Here is a 21,754-nt window from a genome sequence, read left to right as displayed (position 1 = left end):
CTAAGTACATGTGAGTTAATTGGTTTATGTAACGAAATTTCTGGAAGTGGAATTACTGCGTTAAGGGCTATATTTATTTATAATTGTAGTAGATTCTGCCAAATTGTCACTCAACAATGCTTGAGCATGCTTGGTTCCACACACACTTGCCAGTGCTTTTAAGTTTTTCCTAATCTGCTGGGTAAAATATTATTTTTTTTTGCAAGTGTAAATTCATAGCAGTATTGGGAATTTTTTTATGTTTTAAACTATTTGCATTTTTTAAATTATGAAGACTTTCTTTTTCTGCCAACTTGTGTTTTGTCTTCTCTTTTTATTGATTATATGAGCTCTGTATATATTAAAATTGGCCCCGTTCTGTCATAAAATGAATTTGTTGATGTTTTGATTTTGTTAATGTTTTTTAAGATTAGTCTTTATGTTATAACTTTCAGTTTTGTATTATGTTTCAAATCTGCAGCATTTCAAAACTTTCAAAGAAACCACCTTTTTTCTTTTTATGTGCATGAATCTTTGATATACAGAAAATACTTTTAGTGTAGATAAGGAAACTGGAATCTAACCCATTTTTCCTAAAATTACTGAACAGGTGCTTCAACACTATGTATTGAGTAATACATCTTTCCCTCACTCTTGCTCAGGTTTCGTTGAGAACTAACTACTATAGAATGTAATGGCTTAAGACAAATGCCATTGATCTATGGAACTATGGGTGGCTTTGGGCACCTCTTGCTTTATGTAGCTTGTCTGGGGCAATTCTACTGCATGTATCTGACATGATCCTGAAACCACTGACAAGATAGAACATGTTCCCTTGATAATGGCAAAAGCATTATAGAGCAAACATTCACATGTGATGCCTCCTACGTCTTAGCCTCATAATTAACAAAAGGTCCCTTTGAACACATTGATTTGCCTAATGCAAGTTTGCTGCATGGCAAGGTCTAAAGTCAAGGAGCTTGGATATACACTGTGTCTCTGATGTGGCCATGGTAAGGATATAGATACAGGGTGAAGTGAAGAATTGTGGCCAGTAATGCATTTATGATGTTTTCAATGCTTTAAATGCTGCCTTTATTATATACTAATTTTGACACATATTTCAGTCTATTTCTGAATACAGTTCTGTCCACAGATTTATTTAAACATTTCTGGGAAAACTATTTTGAAGTTTCTGCTTCTTCCCTTCAGTAGTGTTTTGCAGCTTTCTGAGATATGGAGTTATTGCATTTTTCTTATGTTGCAGTTTAGAATAGGATCTTCTGATATAATTACCAAGCGACTTTCATCTATTTATAAATTTTTGTATATTTTCATATAATCATATGAAACATAATCATAAGGTTTTATGTATTCTTTCCATAGATTATCTTGAGTGGTCTGATACATGGCTATATCATTCACACTTAATTTTGCCTCCTTTTCTGTTTTTTGTTCTCTTATTAATTCTAGACAATTGTAGTGTCTAGTTGTTCCAGAGCAGTATTAAGTAATTTTTGTGATACTAGGCATAATGTCTTTTATTCTGACTAAGGGAAATGGAGACTCATTTGTTTTCAGTTGTCAATTATTAACCTAAAAAAGAATTAAGATACTAGTTACTTTCTTTAGGATAATTCATTCTAGAATCTTTATATATTGCTATTAAATTAAGATTGATGGTGAGGACATAGCATGACCAGCCTGACAAGAATTGAAATTTGTTATTGTCTGTTTTTCTATTTAACATTCTCTATTTCCGTCTTAATTTTTAATGGATTGGTTGCTTCCTCCTATCACAATGATAGGAGGACAAAATTTGTTTTCAAATAAAACCAGAAAAGGATAGTTGAATATTTGATGGAATATGAGCATTTTATTCAAGACTTTCATTCAAGACTCTTCATTTCATGATACAAAAAGCCAATTTGAACTACCTTAAGCAACATAAAAAGTTTATTGGAAATTGCTAATGTAGTTCAGAGATTGTTGGATGGAGTGCACCAGGAAAGTATGGGGCAGTTGCAGATATCTTAAACGTGAGACCTTGATTTGGTTCTCTGCTTGCCTGTTGGCATATGGGAATGCTAGCAATTTTTGCACATTGATTTTGTATTCTGAGACTTTGCTGAAGTTGCTTATCAGCTTAAGATGCTTTTGGGTTGAGACAATGGGGTTTTCTAGATACAGGATCCTGCCATCTGCAAACAAAGATAGTTTGACTTTCTCTCTTCCTATTTGAATACCTTTATTCCTTTCTCTTGCCTGATTGCCCTGGCCAGAACTTCTAATACTGTGTTGAATAGGAATGGTAAGAGGGTATCCATGTCTTGTGCCAATTTTCAAGGGGAATGCTTCCAGCTCTTGCCCATTTAGTATGATACTGGCTGTGGGTTTGAAATATATGGCTCTTATTATTTTACAGTGTATTTCTTCAATACCTAGTTCATTGAGAGTTTTTAACATGAAGGGATTTTGACTTTTATTGAAGGTCTTTTCTGCATGTATTGAGATAACCATGTGGATTTTGTCTTTGGTTGTGTGTAGGTGATGAATCACATTTACTGATTTGCATATATTGAACCAACCTTGCATCCCAGGGATGAAGCCAACTTGATTGTAGTGCATATGCTTTTTTATATGCTGCTGGATTCAGTTTGCCAATATTTTACTGAGGATTTTTACATCCATGTTCATCAAGGATATTGGCCTGAAGTTTTCTTTGTGGTATCGCTGCCTAGTTTTGGTATCAGGATGATGTTGGTGTCATAAAATGAGCTAGGAAAGTGTCCCTCCTTTTCAATTTTTTGGAATAGTTCAGCAGAAATGGTACCAGTTATTCTTTGTATCTCTGGTAGAATCCAGCTGTGAATCTATCTGGTGCTGGGCTTTTTGTTGTTGGTAGGCTATTTATTATGGCCTCAGTTTCAGAACTCACTGTTGGTCTTTCAGGAATGCAATTTCTTCATGGTTCAGTCTTGGGAGTGTGTATGCATCCAGGAATTTATCCACTTCTTCTAGATTTTAGTTTATGTGCATAAAGGTGTTTATAGTATTCTCTCATGGTTGTTTGTATTTCTGTGGGGTCAATGGTGACATCCCCCTTATCATTTCTAATTCTGTTTATTTGATTCTTCTCTCTTTTCTTTTTCCTTAGTCTACCTAGTAGTCTATTTTATTAATTTTTTCAAAAAAAAAAACACCTCCTGGGTTCATTGATTTTTCAAGGGGCTTTTCGTGTCTCTGTCGCCTTTAGTTCAGCTCTAGTCTTGATTATATTTTGTCTTCTGTTAGCTTTGGGTTTTGTTTGCTCTGGTTCTCTAGTTCTTTTAGTTGAGATGTTAGGTGGTCAACTTGAGATCTTTCTAGCTTTTTGATGTGGGCATTTAGTGCTATAAATTTCCCCCTTAACACTGCTTTAGCTGTGTCCCAGAGATTCTGGTACATTGTCTCCTTGTTCTGTTTAGTTTCAAAGAACTTCTTGATTTCTCCCTTAATTTCGTTATTTACCCCAAAGTCATTCAGGAGCAGGTTATTCAATTTCCATGTAATTGTATGGTTTTGAGTGAACTTCTTAATCTTGAGTTCTAATTTGATTGCACTGTGGTCTGACAGACTGTTGTGACTTCATTTCTTTTGCATTTGCTGAAGAGTGTTTTACTTCTGATTGTAGGATCAATTTTAAAGTAAGTGCCATGTGGCAATGAGAAGAATATATATTCTGTTGTTTTGGGGTGGAGAGTTCTGTAGATATCTATGAGGTCCACTTGATCCAGAGGTGAGTTCAAGTCCCGAATATCTTTGTTAATTTTCTGTCTTGATGATCTGATATTGTCAGTGGGGTATTAATGTCTCCCACTATTGCTGTGTGGGCATCTAAGTCTCTTTGTAGGTCCCTAAACACTTGGCTTATGAATCTGAGTGCTCCTGTATTGGGTGCATATATATTTGGGATAGTTAACTCTTCTTTTTGAATTGAACCATTTACCATCATGTAATGCTCTTCTTTGTATTTTTTGATCTTTGTTGGTTTAAAGTCTGTTTTGTCAGAATCCAAGATTGCAATCCCTGCTTTTTTTGTTTTCCATTTGTTTGGTAAATTTTCCTTCATCCATTTATTTCAAGCCTATGTGTCTTTCACTTTACATGGGTCTGTTGAATACAGCATGCCAGTGGATCTTGGCTCTTTATCCAGCCTTTCATTCTGTGTTTTTTAATTGGGGGCATGTAGTCCATTTACATTTAAGGTTAGTATTGTTATGTGTGAATTTGATCCTGTCATTATGATGGTAGCTGGTTATTTTGCAGACTTGTTTATGTGGTTGCTTTATAGTGTCACTGGTCTATATACTTTAGGGTGTTTTTTAAGTGGCTGGTGATGGCTTTTCCTTTTCATATTTAGTGCTTCCTTCAGGAGCTCTTGTGAGGCAGGCCTCATGATGATGAATTCCCTCAGCATTTGCTTGTCTGAAAAGAATCTTATTGATCCTTTGCTTATGAAGCTTAGTTTGGCTTGATATGAAATTCTGGGTTGGAAATTCTTTTCTTTAAGAATGTTGAATATTGGCCCCCAATCTCTTCTGCCTTGTAGGGTTTCCACTAAGAGGCCTGCTGTTAGTCTGATGGGCTTCCCTTTGTAGGTGGCTAGGCCTTTCTCTCTGGCAGCCCTTAACATTTTTTCTGTCATTTCAACCATGGAGAATCTGATGATTATGTGTCTTGGGGTTGATCTTGTTTTAGAGTATCTTACTGGGGTTCTCTGCAGTTCCTGAATTTGAATGTTGGCCTGTCTTGCTAGGTTGAGGAAGTTCTCCTGGATGATATCCTGAAGTACGTTTTTCAACTTAGTTCAGTTCTCCACCTCTCTTTTATATATACCAGTCAGTCGAAGGTTCAGTCTCTTTACATAATCCTATATTTCTCAGAGGTTTTGTTTACTCCTTTTCATTCTTTTTTCTCTCTTCTTGTCTGCCTATCTTACTTTGAGAGATAGCCATCAAGCTCTGAGATCCTTTCCCCACTTAGTCTATTCTGCTGTTGATACTTGTGATTGCATTGTGAAGTTCTCATGTTGTGTTTTTCAGCTCCATCAGGTCAATTATGTTCCTCTCAAAACTGGCTATTCTGGCTATCAGCTTCTGTATTGTTTTTATCATGATTCTTAGTTTCTTTTCATTGGGTTACAACTTGCCTCTTTAGCTCAATGAAGTTCTTAATACCTACCTTCTGAAGCCTACTTCCATCAGTTTAGCTATCTCAGCCTCAGCCCAGTTCTGCGCCTTTGCTGGAGTCATTTGGAGGAGAAGCACTCTGGGCTTTTTGAGTTTTCAGTATTTTCGTGTTGATTCTTTCTCATCTTTGTGGGCTTATCTACCTTGGATCTTTGAGGTTCCTGATCTTTGAATGGGGTTTTCTGTGAGGGTTTTTTGTTGATGTTGTTGTTTTCTGTTTGTTTTTAATGGTTAGGCTACTTTTCTGTAGCGCTGCTGCAGTTTGCTGGGGGTCTGCTCCAGACCCTAGTTGCCTCAGTTTTTCCTGTACCTGGAGGTAATCACCAGTGAAGGCTGTGAAACAGCAAAGATGGGAGCCTACTCCTTCTTCTGAAGGCTCTGTCCCAGGGGGGTACTGTCCTATTGCCAGCCTAAACTGCACCTATAGGAGGTGTCTGGAGACCCCTGTTGGGAGGGCACGCCCAGTCAGGAGGAACAGGATCAGGGACCCACTTAAAGAAGCAGTCTGGCTGCTTTGGTGGCACAGCTGTGCTGCATTGTGGGGGACCCCTCTTCTTCTGGACAGGCTAGACTCTCCAGAGCTGGCAGGCTGGAACAGCTGTGTAGACCAAACCACAGAGATGGTGGCCATCCCTCTCCCTGGGAACTTTGTCCTTCTCAGGCAGACCCCAACCTGTCATCGCTGGCTTGAGAGAATTCCAAGCCAGTGGGTCTTAACTTGTGAGGTGCTATGGAAGTGGGGCCCTTAAAACGACGCTGCCTGGCTCCCTGGATTCAGCCCCGCCCCCGGGTGTATGTAGCTTTGTATCTCCCTCCTTGCCAGGAATCCCAGGACCACAGTATGCAAAACTCCTGGGTCTCTGTGTGTGCCTGAGCAGCTGCTCTGCTGTGACTCTGCATAGCTCTGTGTATCAGACCCAAGGCCCTGGTGGCGTGGGCTCACGAAGGGATCTCCTGATCCACTGGTTGCAAAGATCTGTGGGAGAAGTGTGGTTTCCCGAGTGGGATCATACAATCACTCACCGCTTCTCTTGGCTGGGGGTGGGAGTTCCTTTGGATCCATGCCACTCCTGGCTAGGCTGTTGCCCCTCCCTGCTTTTCTTCATTCTCTATGGGTCGAGCTATTTGCCTAGTCAGTGCCAGTGCGAGAACCTGGTTATTTCAGTTGAAGGTGCTGAATTCGTCCCTTGCTTTCATTCTTCTCTGTGAGTGTTACAGACTGCCGCTGCTTTTAATCGGCCATCTTGGACCCTCTATTATTATCCTATTCTCTTTCTCCTTTTACTCACTTTAACTGTTTCCCCTTCCACTTCTGCATTTCCAATTTTCCCCTACACACATATGCATACCTATTTTCCTACTTTTTTTCATCCCCTTCTTTTCTCTGTTATTTTCTCTTCGTGTCTCCGGAAAATTAGGATTAAAGTGTGATTTAGGGTTGTTACTTATTTGGACACACTTGTCCTGAGTGCAAGAGTGAAATGTCAGTGGAGAAGGAGTACAACAGGGACTTTATTTTGTGCGCAGATAATATAACAAGGGACGCAAATTAGACTAAATGAGGCAGAGTTCTGCACTAGTGTGACTGAGAAAAACAAAGAGCTGAGAGGCATAAGGTTGGCCTTAAGCAATAATTTTGGGGTTTCTATGCCACGTTTTTCCTCAAGAGGTGAGAAATATTTTCTCCTCCCTCTGGCAACTTCTTCCACTGATTTTATTTGATGATGTGACAGCAAAGTGCTGAAAATGTTGCTCTTTGCCCTCCTAATTATTTTCCATGCTAGGATCTTAACTATAATGTAGATCTGTTTTTTAAATAGGGCATCTGGGAACCTGGTTGTGGGTATGATTTTGTTACAAGCTTCATAGAAGGTTAATGGCAGAAAGCAGAATAGAAAATGGGACTTTCCAGTGTTCTTGTGAAGGTTTCTGAGCAAGTGAGCTGGAGTGAACAAAAAGCAGGCATTCTGGCATCATAATAATGGTCAGATTTCAGAAAGTATCACTGATATATGTGACTGATAAATGTTATTTTATTATGTGGATTATCTCTCACTGTTGATAAAAATAACCTTGTGAAACAGTAAAAAGTTTTAGCCATTTGAATGTTGAGGTATGATATTCATTAACGTATTTCCTGAAGACCAGTTTTAATGGGGCAAAAGTGAATATTAGGATATTACCAAATATCTGCTAAATTCAAACTTCAACAAATTCAGTTTTAAAAAAATACATTTTCTTCCTCAATAGCAAAGGTGTTTATGTAGTAGCTATGATTCAGTCATCTCAGTTCTAGGCACTATTAAATAAGAGCATGTTTGTTTAAATTTATCTGTAAAGTTACAATTAAACACATTTCTAACTATATACACATAATGTCATATTCCTGCATATATCTGTATTTTCTTAAAGGGAAAATATAGAGTATAGCATACATATTCATGCATACATTGAAAGAGAGCTTTCAGTGATAAATCAGCTTCTTACATGTCTTGAGATGTTCATCTTATTTTTAAGCTTTGTGGCAAATAAGTCACAGAGATATTAAAAGAAAATAGCTATTTTCCTGCTTCCAGGAAGGAGTGAAGAAGAGGGTCAGACAGTTAAACTTCAGGGGTTCTTCTGTTTTAGGTTCTGTATGTAAGATTTATGCAGTTATAAAATGGAGAGAGGCAGAAAAAGAGGAAATGAGGAGGAGGTATATTGAGGGAACGAGAGAAGGCTGAGAAAGGACTTTCTTTCCCCCCGGCATGTTATCACTGGAAGACTTAGCATTGCTATGAAGAATATTTGTACTGTGTTCTACAATTATTAGAGCCTTATGAGAGATAATTCTCATTTTTCATTGAGCTAGGTTTAAAGGATGATACTGTTTTTTGTACAAGATAAATGATTGATAAATTTTAAGGTATTAATAAGGCAAAAATAAAGATTTAAGTGATCCCTGCTCTTACATTAATCTTTCACCTTCCTGTGTCTCCCTGCCTCTAAACACATGCATAGAAAATTATAAACTTTGTCTTCCTATTCTTGTTTTTTCCATTTTCCATCTACCATTGCTTTGAGGTTATTTTTGTCCTTCTGACTGATGCCATTTCATTAGCTGGTGGAAGAGTTACTCTTACTTCAGGCTCTTAAAAAAAAAGGGCCTTTCCTCAATCTTGGAGGCTTCTGTACTTTCCGATTCTCTCTCTTTCAGACAGTGAGAACTTGGGGACTTCCATTCAGCAGTATCCCCTTGTCTTCATGGGATAAGTTCCCTAGTAGATGCCTGAAACCAGCAATAGTACCAAACCCTACATATATATTTTTTTCTGTACGTACATACCTGTGGTAAAGTTTAACTTATAAAATATGCACAATGAAAGATTAACAACAATAACTGATAATAAAATAGAACAACTAAGTAAAATAAGGGTTTCTTGAATGCAAGCACTGTTATCTCACAACGGGTGATCTGATAACAGAGAGAGGTACTAAGTGACTCAAGAGCAGGTTGTGCCATCAGTATGAATACGTTGGATTCACGTCCAGGGCTGATGGAGTGGGATGGCGTGAGATTTCATCATGCTGTTCAGAAAGGTGCACGATTTAAAATGTATGAATTGGTTATTCTAGAATTTTTCATTTAATGCTTTTAGATTGTGGGTAACTGAAACCACAGAAAGTGAAACTGCATAAGGAGGGCTTCTGTGTACTACTTAGGCTTAATAATTATTTAACATAGAAAGTATGAATTTTGCAGTTTAAGAGATAGAAGAGTAGACAATAGGATTCCTATCACAGTTTCCCCTGATAGAATGCATTTATAATTTTCTATATACAAGTATGGTAGTTGATACTATTGGGATATTGGCCACTCTTTTCCAGAGATACCACTTACATGTGGTCTGCATTTCTTTCACCTTTTTAATGTGTATGTTTCTTGGCATTTCCCCACATGAAAGACATTTATATTTACTTTTATAGAAAAGAAATATAAGCATAAGTAATATGAATATGCATTCTAGTTTCTATTTAGTACCTAGCACACACAAAAAGTAAATGTTAAACCTTTTGCTGTTTATATAATCTGGAAAGACATGGGATGTAGGCATGAAATTAGTATAGGAAATAAGACAATATGCTTCATGTTTTGATATTTTTAACATAAGCTAACATTTATAAACAATTTTATAGACTCACAGGAGGTTAAAGAAGAATGATTTTGCAGATAAGAAAAGTTATTATCTATTGTCTGAGATACAATTGACTAAATGTTTTTTCCCCAAGTCTTATCATTGCAGTATACATTATAGACAGCCTAATAACATCATACTAAATCACCTCAAATTGACTTATTAGATGAAGTAGTGACAATTCAAGGTTCTGAGGTGGTAATAGGCTTTGGGTAATATCTGGATAGTTTCAAATTTGGCAGGTGGAATTATCCACTTTTATGTTTTGTATTTTAGGAATGTCGCGGTGGTGCTTTTGTTGGAAGTATTCTTTAAAAATTAGGAAGAAGTGGGTGATGGAAAATGGGTTTTTATCTCCTATGGTCCTTTCCTTTTCATCTTGCTACTTCCAGATGGGATCCAGATTGAGGATAAAGAGATACGATGCTAGCATTAATTAAAGAATTTGGAGTATGAAGTGTACTTTCTTTTTTTTGCCTTTTTATTTAAAGTTCATATTGATTTCCATGAATAAACAAAAGCACGAAGCCAGGGTTTATGCATTCACTTTCTGAGCAGAAGGGTTCAGCCATGAAAAACCGAACTTATCTGTTTGCAATATATTTTCTTCAAATTGGGAACAGATGCATGTGTCGTTCCAGAGTGTAGGTAAAAAGGACTGAGCTCTTTACTGAATAACCTCAACTTTCTTCCTTTGACCATTGTGACTTTTCTTCCATGGAAGGTTATCTGTCATCTATTTTTTTTCCCACTGTGTGATCTTAAAAGATGAATTCCAAAAAGAAAAAAAAATGGATTTTTACAAAACAAATTGTAAACTATAAATATAATGTTAGAAATGAACTAGACAATTTTACCCACTTTTTTTAATGATTAAAAACTCAGTAGCTATTTTAAATTAATTATAACCAGGTATTGAAATTCAACTTGATTCCTCAAACTGGGTACTCTGACCATGTAATGTGTGTGTTTGAAGTAAGAGATGACTTAAAAAGCAATATAGATAATTCACATTATGTAGCTAATCACAGAATAGCGCCAAATTGAAAAGATATATTCATGCTTAATTTATTATTCATCACCTCCTGCGGTCACTTTTTTCCTGTGCCATGGAGCAGAGGTCTCACGCTTCCATGTGCAGATGAATCACCAGGAGGAAGTTGCCTAAAGTGATGATTGTTTGGCTTCTTCTCCAGAAAATCTCTTTCAGGAGGTCGGAGTAGAACTCCAGAATCTACATTTTGAAAAACATCTCCCCTCCTCTCGTGTGATTTTTCATGCTGCCGAGCCATTGGTCTTGCTTTTGGAAGTACAGTTGTAGAATTTCCTGAAGGATTGCTATCTCAGCAATCCCACATGTTTTCCATTTCTTTTTCTAAATTGAATTCAGGTTTATTGGCCTATAATTCTCTGGTTCATCTCTTGTTCCACACGTAAATTTGGCAATTACAAGCAGTACATGTTCTACCTCCCAGTCTACACTTTGATAGTCACATGGATGTGCCTTCTTACACTATCCTAACATGGGGTGTTTGGGGAAGGGAAGTGGGAAAATGTTTTATGGTTGTTATTAGTTTTAACTGAACGTACTCAAAGTGTTCCTGCCCCATTTTTCCTTGTATTTTCTTAATGGTGATCTTTTATTACCTTTCTTACCTTCTCTTTTACCTTCTAATCACTTTGAACAGGCACAGGTATAATTATAACTACCTTTTTAATTTATTTAGCCATCATTTTTTCCCTGCCTTTTTTACAGGCCTAGATTTTTGCTTTGTGCACAACTGAGCTTACTGAGTTTATTTGTATGTGGTAGAATTGTAATGCTTGGTTGCATTGAATTTCCTTTCTCTAATTGTTTTCTTCCTAGACTTGCCTCCCTTGCCTTCAAAAATAGCCACATTTTCGGCACTTTGCAAATGTGCCAGACATTGTGCTAAATGTTACACATATTACCTCGTTCCATTTTTAACTCTCTGAGGTGTATTTGTTATTATTGCCATACTCATTTTACAGATGAGGAAACTGAAGTCACAGAGAAGTTGAGAAACTTGGCTAACTAAAGTCTTGCAACTAATGAATGTGAAAGCGAGAACTGGATTCCTGACAGTCTGCCTCTAGAGCACACTTGTGATACTACTGCACAGTACTTAGAGTTTATTAGCTGGGTAGAGTCTGGCTGAGAATCAGCCCCCATCCTGACTGTATCAAGACCCTCTCTGGCAGACCACTGCTGAGTCCTTTGGGAGGAAGTGCTGCCATTTCTTTTCTCTAATGATCAAGTCCTTAGTCCTGTGGTGACTCATTATTATTTTTGGAGCGGGCCATACGCAGAGAGGCCATCTCTATGGTTAATCATAATGACTGAGGCTGATTTCTTCTCTCAGGTACCTACAAAGGGCAGTTCTCAGGTCCCAGAGACCTCCTTGGTTATTATCCAGAAGTCGTTTGAGTTTGGGGAGAACACTTCTACAGGGCTTCTATTCTAGCTGTTGGCACTGCTTCCTTAGAGCACTCTGCTCTTTCTTCCATTAATAGCAGCCTTTGGTGGTAGGACTGTATTGCCTTTAACAAACTTCCTTGCCCAATTATTCTTGGGGGTTACTCTTTCAGACCTGAGTATGCATGTGGAGTGTCAGACACATGTATTTAGCTTTGTGGGAGCTGATCCTTTGGCTAAAATCATATCTTAGCCAATCTGATATAAAATATAGCTGTGAAACAGTAAAATATGGAAGTTCATGTTTGAATAACATTTTTATAATAAATATACTGGAAATTTATTTTTAATTTAAAATCATAACTTTCCCAGGGCACTAAGTTATTTTGAATTTTGAATTTGCTTTTTTTTATTATTTAATTATTTATTTATTTTCAGATAGAGTTCCACTTAACTGATAAATGAATAAATGGCTCTATCTACTTTATTGCAAGCTGTTTTTTTTTTTTTTTAGGCAGTGTCTGACTTTGCCACCCAGGCTGGAGTGCAGTGGTGCGATCTCAGCTCACTGCAACCTCCACCTCCTGAGTTCAAGTGATTCTAGTGCCTCAGCCCCCTGAGTAGCCGGGATGACAGGTATGTCATCCCTGTCATACCTGTCATCCTGGCTAATTTTGTATTTTTAGTAGAGAAAGGGTTTTGCCATGTTTCCCAGCCTGGTTTCGAACTCTTGGCCTCAAGGAATCTGCCCATCTCGCCTCCGAAAGTGCTGGGATTACAGGTATGAGCCACCTCACCAGGCCTGAATTTGCTTTATTTCAAAAGGAAAATGGTACCACCTATACTGTTAGAAGTAAATGTTGGTGACCATAGTTAATAATAGTGTATAAAATATTTCAAAATGGCTAAAATAACAAATGTTTAATGTCCTCATTATGAAAAAAATAAGTTGATGAGGCGATGGATGTGTTCATTAGCTTGATTGATTCTTCTTATGATATATACAGACAGAAAATCACATTGTACTCTGTAAATATACACAATTATTATTTGTCAATTAAAAATAAACCAATAAGATGCACTTTAAACCATTATTCATTTTATTACAGATATTATTCAGAATTGTTAAAGATAGAGTTATATTATTATCCATCTTTACATCCCAGCATAGTGTCTGTTAATTAGTAGAAGCTGGCGAATAATCGTTGAATAAATGAATGAATAAATGGATGAATGATGGAGCCTGAAAATTTGAGGTGGCAAAAAATATTGGATTATAAACACCATCTTATGTATTCTATTTGGACTAGTCTCAGTTAGTAAGTAGGATTAATATACAGTTAATATATGAAATTTTTATTAATGTATTCAAGCAAAGTATTATATCTAAGCTTTTATTTGATTTTTCTTATTTTTCCCACATGTACTGATTATGGCACTGTTTCACTTATTGTTAGAGAAAAATGGCACAGTACAGGGTTCTTGGTAATATCATCCTGCACATAAAAATATGTCTTGTAAAGCAACGTATTACCTACCATCTGTGCTTCACTTATAATCTTCTAAGAAATTACTACACAATTTTCAGAATTACCTTACTTCTTTAAACAACATGTGTTTTAGAAAAACAGATTAAGCGTTGGAGAACATTTCTGAATTCTTTCCAGAAACCACCATGTTTATTAGATTTGAGCAGCCATTAAAAAAAGACACTTGAAAATCTTTCTTTAATGAAATCAGCCCCTCTGGAAACTTGAGATCATCACTCACAAAATACTTAACTTAAATTGCTTTTTTGAGTATAAGATACAGCCTCTGTAGTATAAAGTTCCCTCTGAGAGAGTCTGTGAATACTGATTTTATTGGGCTGTGTCCAACCTGTAAATACAGATTACCTTTTTATTTTGTTCTATATTATCTTCAACTTTTTAGATTGTGTATTGCTGCTGCTAATAGCAGTTTCCACTTGAAATTGTTGAGTTTTTCTCTGCTCTTTTTCTTCCCAAGTGTTTAGGGCACCTACATTCTGGATTCTCAGAGTAAACAATCAAGTATTTGTTATTGATGGAAAATTAGAACTTGGTTTAGAACATTTCTTCTAAATAAGAGGAGAATTATTTTAAATTCAGGAGGAAACATCGAAGTAATATGTGTCTTTGTTAACTACTAGTCATATTTGTGCATTAAGACAAGGTTTGATTACTGTTTCCTTTATGCCATATCCCAAGTGTGCACAATATTTTGTAGGATAAAGGGGATACTTACAACACTATTCCCTTGAAAATAGGAGTTAAGCCTAAAGTGGATATGGATTTCATTGCTAATATTGAAATGTCAGGTCCATGCCAGGCCCGGTGGCTCATGCCTGTAATGCCAGCACTTTGGGAGGCCAAGATGGTTGGATCACCCAAGGTCAGGAGTGCGAGGCCAGCCTGGCCAACATGGTGAAACCCCATCTCTACTAAAAATACAAAAATTAGCCAGGCATGGTGGCAGGCACCTGTAATCCCAGCTTCTCAGGAGGCTGAAGCAGGAGACTAACATGAACCCAGAGGCAGAGGTGCAGTTAGTCAAGATTGCACCACTGCGCTCCAGCCTGGGCGACAGAGCGAGACTCCACCTCAAAAAATGAAAAACTAAAAATAAATAAATCAATTCTAATATTCCATTAACTAAGAAAACATTATAGTTATATATGTGTTTATATATGTCTATATGTACTATAATGTTATATATGTCTATATACATGCACATCTATGTATGTGTGTATAGAGACATATATACATATGTGTGTATAGAGACATATATACATATATGTGTATAGAGACATATACATGTGTGTGTAGAGACATATACATATGTGTGTATAGAGACATACATATGTGTGTACAGAGACATGCATATGTGTGTATATAGACATATACATATGTGTATATATGTGTATATATGTATATACATATGTATATATGTGTGTATAGATGTGTGTATATCTACATATATACATATACATATACACATATATAGACATACACATATAGACATATACATATATACATATATACATATATGTGTGTGTGTATATATAGATATACACACATGTCTATATATGTGTATATATATGTGTGTGTATATATATATCCAACACATATATAGTCTATATATGTGTATATATAGACATATATAATTATATATACACATGTATAGACATATATAACTATAATGTTTTCTTAGTTAATGGAATATTGGAATTTATAAGGCATCTTTATAGATAGTCAGTTAGACATGCAAATGTCTCCACATATCAAGTTTCAGTAACTCTGTATTTATTCTGATTGAGTGACTGTAAATTATAATTGGACTGATGGTTGGTCTAGCTTTGAAGTGTTTTAGTGTGGTCTACAGACTGCTACTTTTCTTTTCCTTTCATTCTTATCAAATTAGAAAGCATCCAGAAAAGTGTCTGGCACAGTAGTTGGTCATGAAACATTGGCTCATAGGATTTGGAATAACTAAGATAGCTTTATGTAAAGAAGAGAGATTGAGATGGGACACTGACTGTCGTGGATTTAAATCAAATCCTAATTTCACTCATACAATGCCGTCTTGGAAAAATTGTTTAAACAGTCTGAAGCTCCTTTTGGTTTTCTAAAAAAAAGTTACCTATTTTATAGATAATAGATTAATAGTGCCTATCTCATAATGTTTTCAGGATTAAATTAGCTTTAAATATATATAGTATATGTTTAAAAAGGATTTCCATAATACCCTTTTTATTTGTTCAAGTTCAAAGAAATGAGTGATGCTGTCTTTTAAAAGCAATGGATTAAATTTTTGAGAATATGTTTATTCTCACTGTCATTTAGATTATACCTTTATTTGAAGAACATACTAACTAAATTGGATTTTGTTACTCTAACAGATATTTGGAATTGGTAATGAATTTAATTAGATAGAGGCCCACTTACCAGTTCAAAGCTACTTTTTATCCATTAATCATCAACTTTTAGCATTGTCTCTTAAAAAAAAGCATTAAGTAGTTTCGGGGTAAGGGTAATCACTTAGATCACTCTCAGCTAAATAGGTAATAAGAGGAAACAGTGGAAGGAGGGAAGGTAGTAAGACATAAAAACTAGTTTCTATAACTTAGAAAATTATATTTAGTGTTAGGAGTTTCAACTCATTCTCTTTTATCTATTTAAAATAATCAAGATGTACTCAGTATGGATAATGATATAACCAAAAATATATTAATAATTGTGGTGTGTCATTTACTCTTAAAGTTTTATGCAGTTTTCACATCTGTGTTCATTGCCTGTTGAACTCTAGAGCGTTAAGTGGATAGACATGAAGGCACTGTGAACTCCTTGAGGTCATGTGTAGCATTTTTATATGTGCATTTTTCAGAAGTTCTTTCTTCAGGTTCTCAAAGGGGTTCAAAACCCATTGTCAATTAGGCATTGAAACTATTGTCACTGTATGTTAAATATTAAAAAATAGAGTAATACTTAAAAGAGGCTTATAGGTTTTTGTTATTTTTTAATTTACAAGTATAATTTCTTGTTAAATGTTCATCCTTTCAGCCATGTGTTTCTGTTGCATATTTGGTGGTGTGAATGGATTAAATAATACTTATAGATTTCCATATTTAGCTTTTTATGAATACTAGTGAGTGAAAAAACTGTTTAATTATCCGGATGCTAGATACAACTTATTTCATTAGCACTTCAGAAAGTGATCGTTATCTCATAGAGTTTGCTTCTCCCAATCATATGATTTCTGTTATGTATTTACCTTTCAAATAGGTATTGATTTATTAACATTTTTCTCATCCTGCAATTTGGGTACATAACAGCCAGTATTATTTCAAGACTGTTTGATCTGTCTAGCTAGGAGAGTAGCTGCACCTAGTGGCGAGGGCCCCTCACCTGGTGTTCACACGGGTTAAGTATATGGACATCAGGCTACTGTGAACTCTCTGAAGTTGAATGCGGTATTTGTATATGGGTATGTTCTTAGGGTCCTTTCCTCAGATTCTCAAGGGGATCCATAATCCCACAATTGATTAAGAGTTAAAGCTACTGACACTGTGAACTAATATAAAAAGTGAATAAAAATTAACACAGAGAGGTTTGAACGATTTTGCTAACTTCTAATTTTAAAATATAATTTTGTATTAAATGTTAATCTCTAGCAAAGCAGGTAATTCTTCTAGAATAGTTCTTTTTTAATAACTATTGATTGTCTTTCAAGGTATTATTTTCAGGAAGCAGCATCTATTGTGCAATGGAATAAGAATGGACTTTGTATCCAAGCTGATCTAACTTAAAATAATATCTCCTCAAAATACTAGTTACGTAGAACCTTAGGGAAATTATTTAGCATGTCTGTGTCTCAGTGTTCTCATGTGTAAATCTAACATCATAATTCTTACCCAGTACTACTAACACGAGGATTACAGATAATGCTTACAAAGCATCTAGTGAATATCAAGTCATTAAAAAAGTTAACATATTTATGTTTAAAAAACCTATCTATTGAAAATGTTTTCATTTTTCTTTCATCTTCCCATGTTTTAAATCGATTTACCCTAAATATTAACTTGCAGTAAAATATATTACTAATCGTTATTCTACAAAATTCTTAGGTTTTTGCCTTGCTTGGGACTTGGTATTTTCACTTGCAGCTTTTATTAATTTGTTCACCTCAATTATATTTTTCTACTCAAGAAGAGAGGGTTTCAGTTTGCCTCTACTGAAAATGTGTGTCTCTTTCTTTTCCCGCTTGAAGACACTGAGTTTACTTTTTAACTTCTAGTGAAAGCAGAGAGTGAACAATGATCATTAGACTGAAGTTTTGAAATATCTGTCCAAGGAATAGGAAGGATCTTTCTAGTTTTCTTCTCTCATTATAGCTCCCTGCAGTTTCTGGTAGTAGCTACTGGTTTTGTCACACAAGGGTATTCTATGTTAATTTGGGCTTCTAAAAATTTTAGCCACATTTGTAATAGAACATATTCTTAAACCTCTGTTTCTCTTAAAAGTTGACCTTATTATTTTCTCTTTACTTATTTTTTTAGAGACTGGGTGTGACTCTGTTGCTTAGGCTGGAGTGTAGTGATGCAATCATGGCTCACTGCAACCTTGACCTACTGGGTTGGGTTGATCCTCCTGCCTCAGCCTCCTGAGTAGCTGGGACTACAAGCATCCACCATCATATCTGGCTAACTTTAAAAAAATTTATAGAGATGTGGTATCACCGTGTTGCCCAGGCTGATCGCAAACTCTTGTTCTCAAGAGATCCTCCTACCCCAGCCTTCCAAAGTAGTGAGATTACAGGCATGAGTCACCACGCCTGGCCCTTATTTTTTATTTGACATCAAATGTCAAATTAAGCAAGGTTTTACTCATTAGAATCGGAGAATCTCTTCATTTTTTGAATATTTAAGGATTTCTTCTATTATATTTACATAAATAAAATATGAGTAAATCATATATCCAGCTTAGATTATGGTTGCTTCCCTGTTTCCTTTTATCTTAGAAAAGGTTGCAAATCAAGTAAGGTGTCATGATTTGGTGAACAGCATTCTTGACTTACCAGTTTGGGATTTTGTCTCTGCCAGATATGGTGGTGCGTTCCTGTAGTCCCACCTACTCAGGAGGCTGAGGCAGGAGGATCACCTGAACCTAGGAGGTCAAGGTTGCAGTAAGCCATGATCGCATCACTGCACTCCAGCTTAGGCAACAGAGTCACACCCAGTCTCTAAATAAATAAATATAAAATAATTAGGTCAATTTTTTTTTTTTGAGACGGAGTCTCACTCTGTCGCCCAGGCTGGAGTTCAGTGGCACAATATCTGCTCATTGCAAGCTCTGCCTCCCAGGTTCACTCCATTCTCCTGCCTCAGCCTCCTGAATAGCTGTAAGTACAGGTGCCCGCCACCATGCCCTGCTAATTTTTTGTATTTTTTAGTAGAGACGGGGTTTCACCTTGTTAGCCAGGATGGCCTCGACCTCCTGATCTCGTGATCCACCCGCCTCGGCCTCCCAAGTTGCTGGGATTACAGACGTGAGCCACCGTGCCTGGCCCAATAAGGTCAATTTTTAAGAGAAACAGAGATTTAGCAACTTTTATCTCTGCGTATAGATCATAGGGGGACATGAACTTATCCATAATATGGGTGTTCCATATGCATTCAGTGCTCATTATTTGTGGATTCCATATTTATGAATTTTCCCATTTGTGGTAATTTATTTGTTACCTCAAAATCAATACTTATGGCATTTTCCTGGTCATTTATGGATATGCACAGATGGACAAAAAATTTGTGTCACCCAGTAGGCATGTTCCCAGTTAAGGCCAGATAAAGCGAGAGTTCTGCCTTCAGATATCAGCTTTCAGAGGATGGAGGCAGTAGGGGGCAGTGCAGGGTAGTGCAGGGTAGTGAGGGAAGCACCCTAGAGCCAGCTGGAGGAAGTTTCAATCCCTACTCTGGCACTTGCTAGTGGGGTAGGCACAGGAAAGTTACCTAACACTTGTGAATTTTTTTTTCCTTTTTTTTTAAAAAAGAGGAAAATGGAATCTACCAGTCTGTGTTGTTTTGGGTATTTAAGATTATATGAGTGGGGTGTGTGTGTGTGTGTGTGTGTGTGTGTGTGTGTGTGTGTGTTTCCTCTAGGAGTAGCAGTTCAGTATTCACTAATTCAGAGTACACGGCAACTGTACAGAATGTAACCATCACATATAATGAGAAATGACTGTATTTTTAAGTAATGTCTAAAGTAAATTTTTGTATGAAATGACTATATTGCAAAAATGCTTTGTGTGCGTGTATGTGTAGATGTACAAATATTTTACTTGCTAGAGCTTTTGACATCTATTGCTCTTTTCTTCCTCACAATGGTCCTCTGATGTGAAAATTGTTTGATGACATACTTTATGGGTCATCTACATGTGCTATTATAATCATTTGATATTTTACTGGCTTTTTAAATGGCCTTTAAAATGTTCCTTTTTCTCCAATATACAATGTAGAAAATTTTGGCAGCATAGTAACATACAAAGATGATAACAAAAATGTCTGTGTTTCTGCAACCTATGATATTTTCCTTTTAATCTTTTTACTCTGCAGTTTTTTGCTGCTCTGATTCATCCCTCCAGTGTGCTGCAGTCTCGCGCTCACACTCTCTTTCTCTCTCTCTTCTTCTGTCTCTCTCTCTCTCTCTGTCTCTGTCTCTGTCTCTGTCTCTTTCTGGGCTGTACCATCTGATTCAAATGTTCTCCCCATTATCTAACTAACCCATACTTGGGGTCAAGTATTGGCGTGAACCTCTGTGATCCCCTTTATCTGCAAGAAGGCCCTTGCCTCTTTTGTACCAACAAATTGAAATTATCTTGTTTCTTGTGTGGCTTCCTACAGGGGCAGAATTTGTCTTGCTGCTTTTTTGTTCCCTCAGAAAATGTCCAAAGACTCTTTGTTTAATGAAGAGATAAAATGAGTGTGATAAATGACTTAGAGAAGAGTGAATGAGTAAATATATCTTCATCTACATCACTGATTATTTCCTTGAGCTAAAGTCCTAGAAAATAGAAACACTAAATCAAATCTTGATACACAATAAACATTGGTTTCCTGAAAGGATGTGGAAACTATTACTCCCAATAGGAATATATGAGAATTTCTCTCCTACTGCATTCTCACCAACATCAATTTCTTTGTTTTAAAAAAATATTTGCAAATTTGGGAAATACAAAAAATGGACTCTTTACTGTTTTATATTGCAACATTATTGCCCTCTAAAGATACCAGAACACTGGTCAGTTGATGTTTAGCAATTAGGGAATGATAGATCATATACCTCAGTGGCATACTTAATCAACCTCTTGTATGAGGTTAAATAGGGCTCAGGGTGTTCCCAGCATCTTTTGAAATACTTGATGCCAACAACCCACTGTCATCTGATATAGCACCTGGTGCCTATGGTTTTTCTGGAAAAAAAAAGAAAAAAGAAAAAAAATGGTGTCCTGAAATGTTTATGTTAATTGCTGCAACTGCTTAACTGCATTTGGAAGAATGAGGTTTCATAGAAATTCAGAGATGTGCTCATTGTACATTGCTCAAGCATAAAGGGAATTGTCTTTACTAATGGAATAGTTATATTGGTTTTGGTAACTGTTGGAGTGTATTATGTTTATTGATTTTTAAGTACAAGAGGACCCTTTATCATACTGGATAGATTTGTGAGTCTAAAGTAAATGAGGCTTTGAGTTAGTATTGTCAAAGTGGTGTGCCTAACTTTAGGGCTATGATATGTTCATGAAATTGATAGTGCATGCATTTGTGTTACGTTTGAAATATATGAGTATCTTTATTCACTCAAGGGGCTTAATCAGACTCTGAAGTTTGACTGACCTTGGTATTACTCTTACTCTTTCATTTACAGTTGCCTTTAGCAAATCATGTAACTTCTTTGAGCCCCAGTTTCTTTGTCTGTAAATGAAGGCTAATGCTGGTATCTGTCTTACAACCTTTTTGTTACAATAACACAAAGAAGTGCCTGATTACTCAAAGCTCTGGGCACCATGTCTGACACATAGGAAGTGATCAATAAATGTTAGTTTTGCTCATGACACTGCCTGTCACATAATGGGCTAATTATTTGTTGAAAGAATAAGTTTTTTCAACAAATATTTAGGCCCCTACAACTCATCCATTTATGTATTCATTATTTTGTTTGATACATATTTATTGGGTACCTGCTATATTCCAGATATATTAGGTGGAGGGGATGTAACAATGAACAAAAAGAGGCATGATTTCTGCATCAACCCGAGGGCCTGAATTTGGGGTATTATGTATGAAGTAAATAGAAAATTAGCAAAGTGGTAGCTGCTATGAAGAAGATGCACTTGATGAGATGAAAACTCATAAC

At 36.3% G+C, this 21,754-nt stretch overlaps 1 protein-coding gene across 1 annotated transcript in view, besides 2 other annotated features; it reads left to right on the top strand.

Annotated features, from left to right (window-relative positions):
- Positions 1-21,754, top strand: part of MMP16 (matrix metallopeptidase 16) — a 295,473-nt gene that overhangs the window by 18,303 nt on the left and 255,416 nt on the right. The gene's annotated exons all lie outside the window — the stretch shown is intronic.
- Positions 5,876-6,490: an enhancer, noted in NCBI's record as "H3K27ac-H3K4me1 hESC enhancer chr8:89314920-89315534 (GRCh37/hg19 assembly coordinates)". NCBI's record gives its function as "activates a minimal SCP1, AML or CMV promoter by ChIP-STARR-seq in naive H9 embryonic stem cells {active_cell/tissue: H9 hESC(naive)}" and the evidence as "EXISTENCE:reporter gene assay evidence [ECO:0000049][PMID:30033119]".
- Positions 10,077-11,276: an enhancer, noted in NCBI's record as "P300/CBP strongly-dependent group 1 enhancer chr8:89310134-89311333 (GRCh37/hg19 assembly coordinates)". NCBI's record gives its function as "activates an origin of replication core promoter dependent on BRD2, BRD4, P300/CBP, MED14 and CDK7 cofactors, with strong dependence on P300/CBP, by STARR-seq in HCT116 cells {active_cell/tissue: HCT116}" and the evidence as "EXISTENCE:reporter gene assay evidence [ECO:0000049][PMID:35650434]".

Source organism: Homo sapiens, chromosome 8 (assembly GCF_000001405.40).
Source record: "Homo sapiens chromosome 8, GRCh38.p14 Primary Assembly".
Classification (NCBI taxonomy): Eukaryota; Metazoa; Chordata; class Mammalia; order Primates; family Hominidae; genus Homo; species Homo sapiens.
This window is presented reverse-complemented; position numbering and strand designations above follow the sequence as displayed.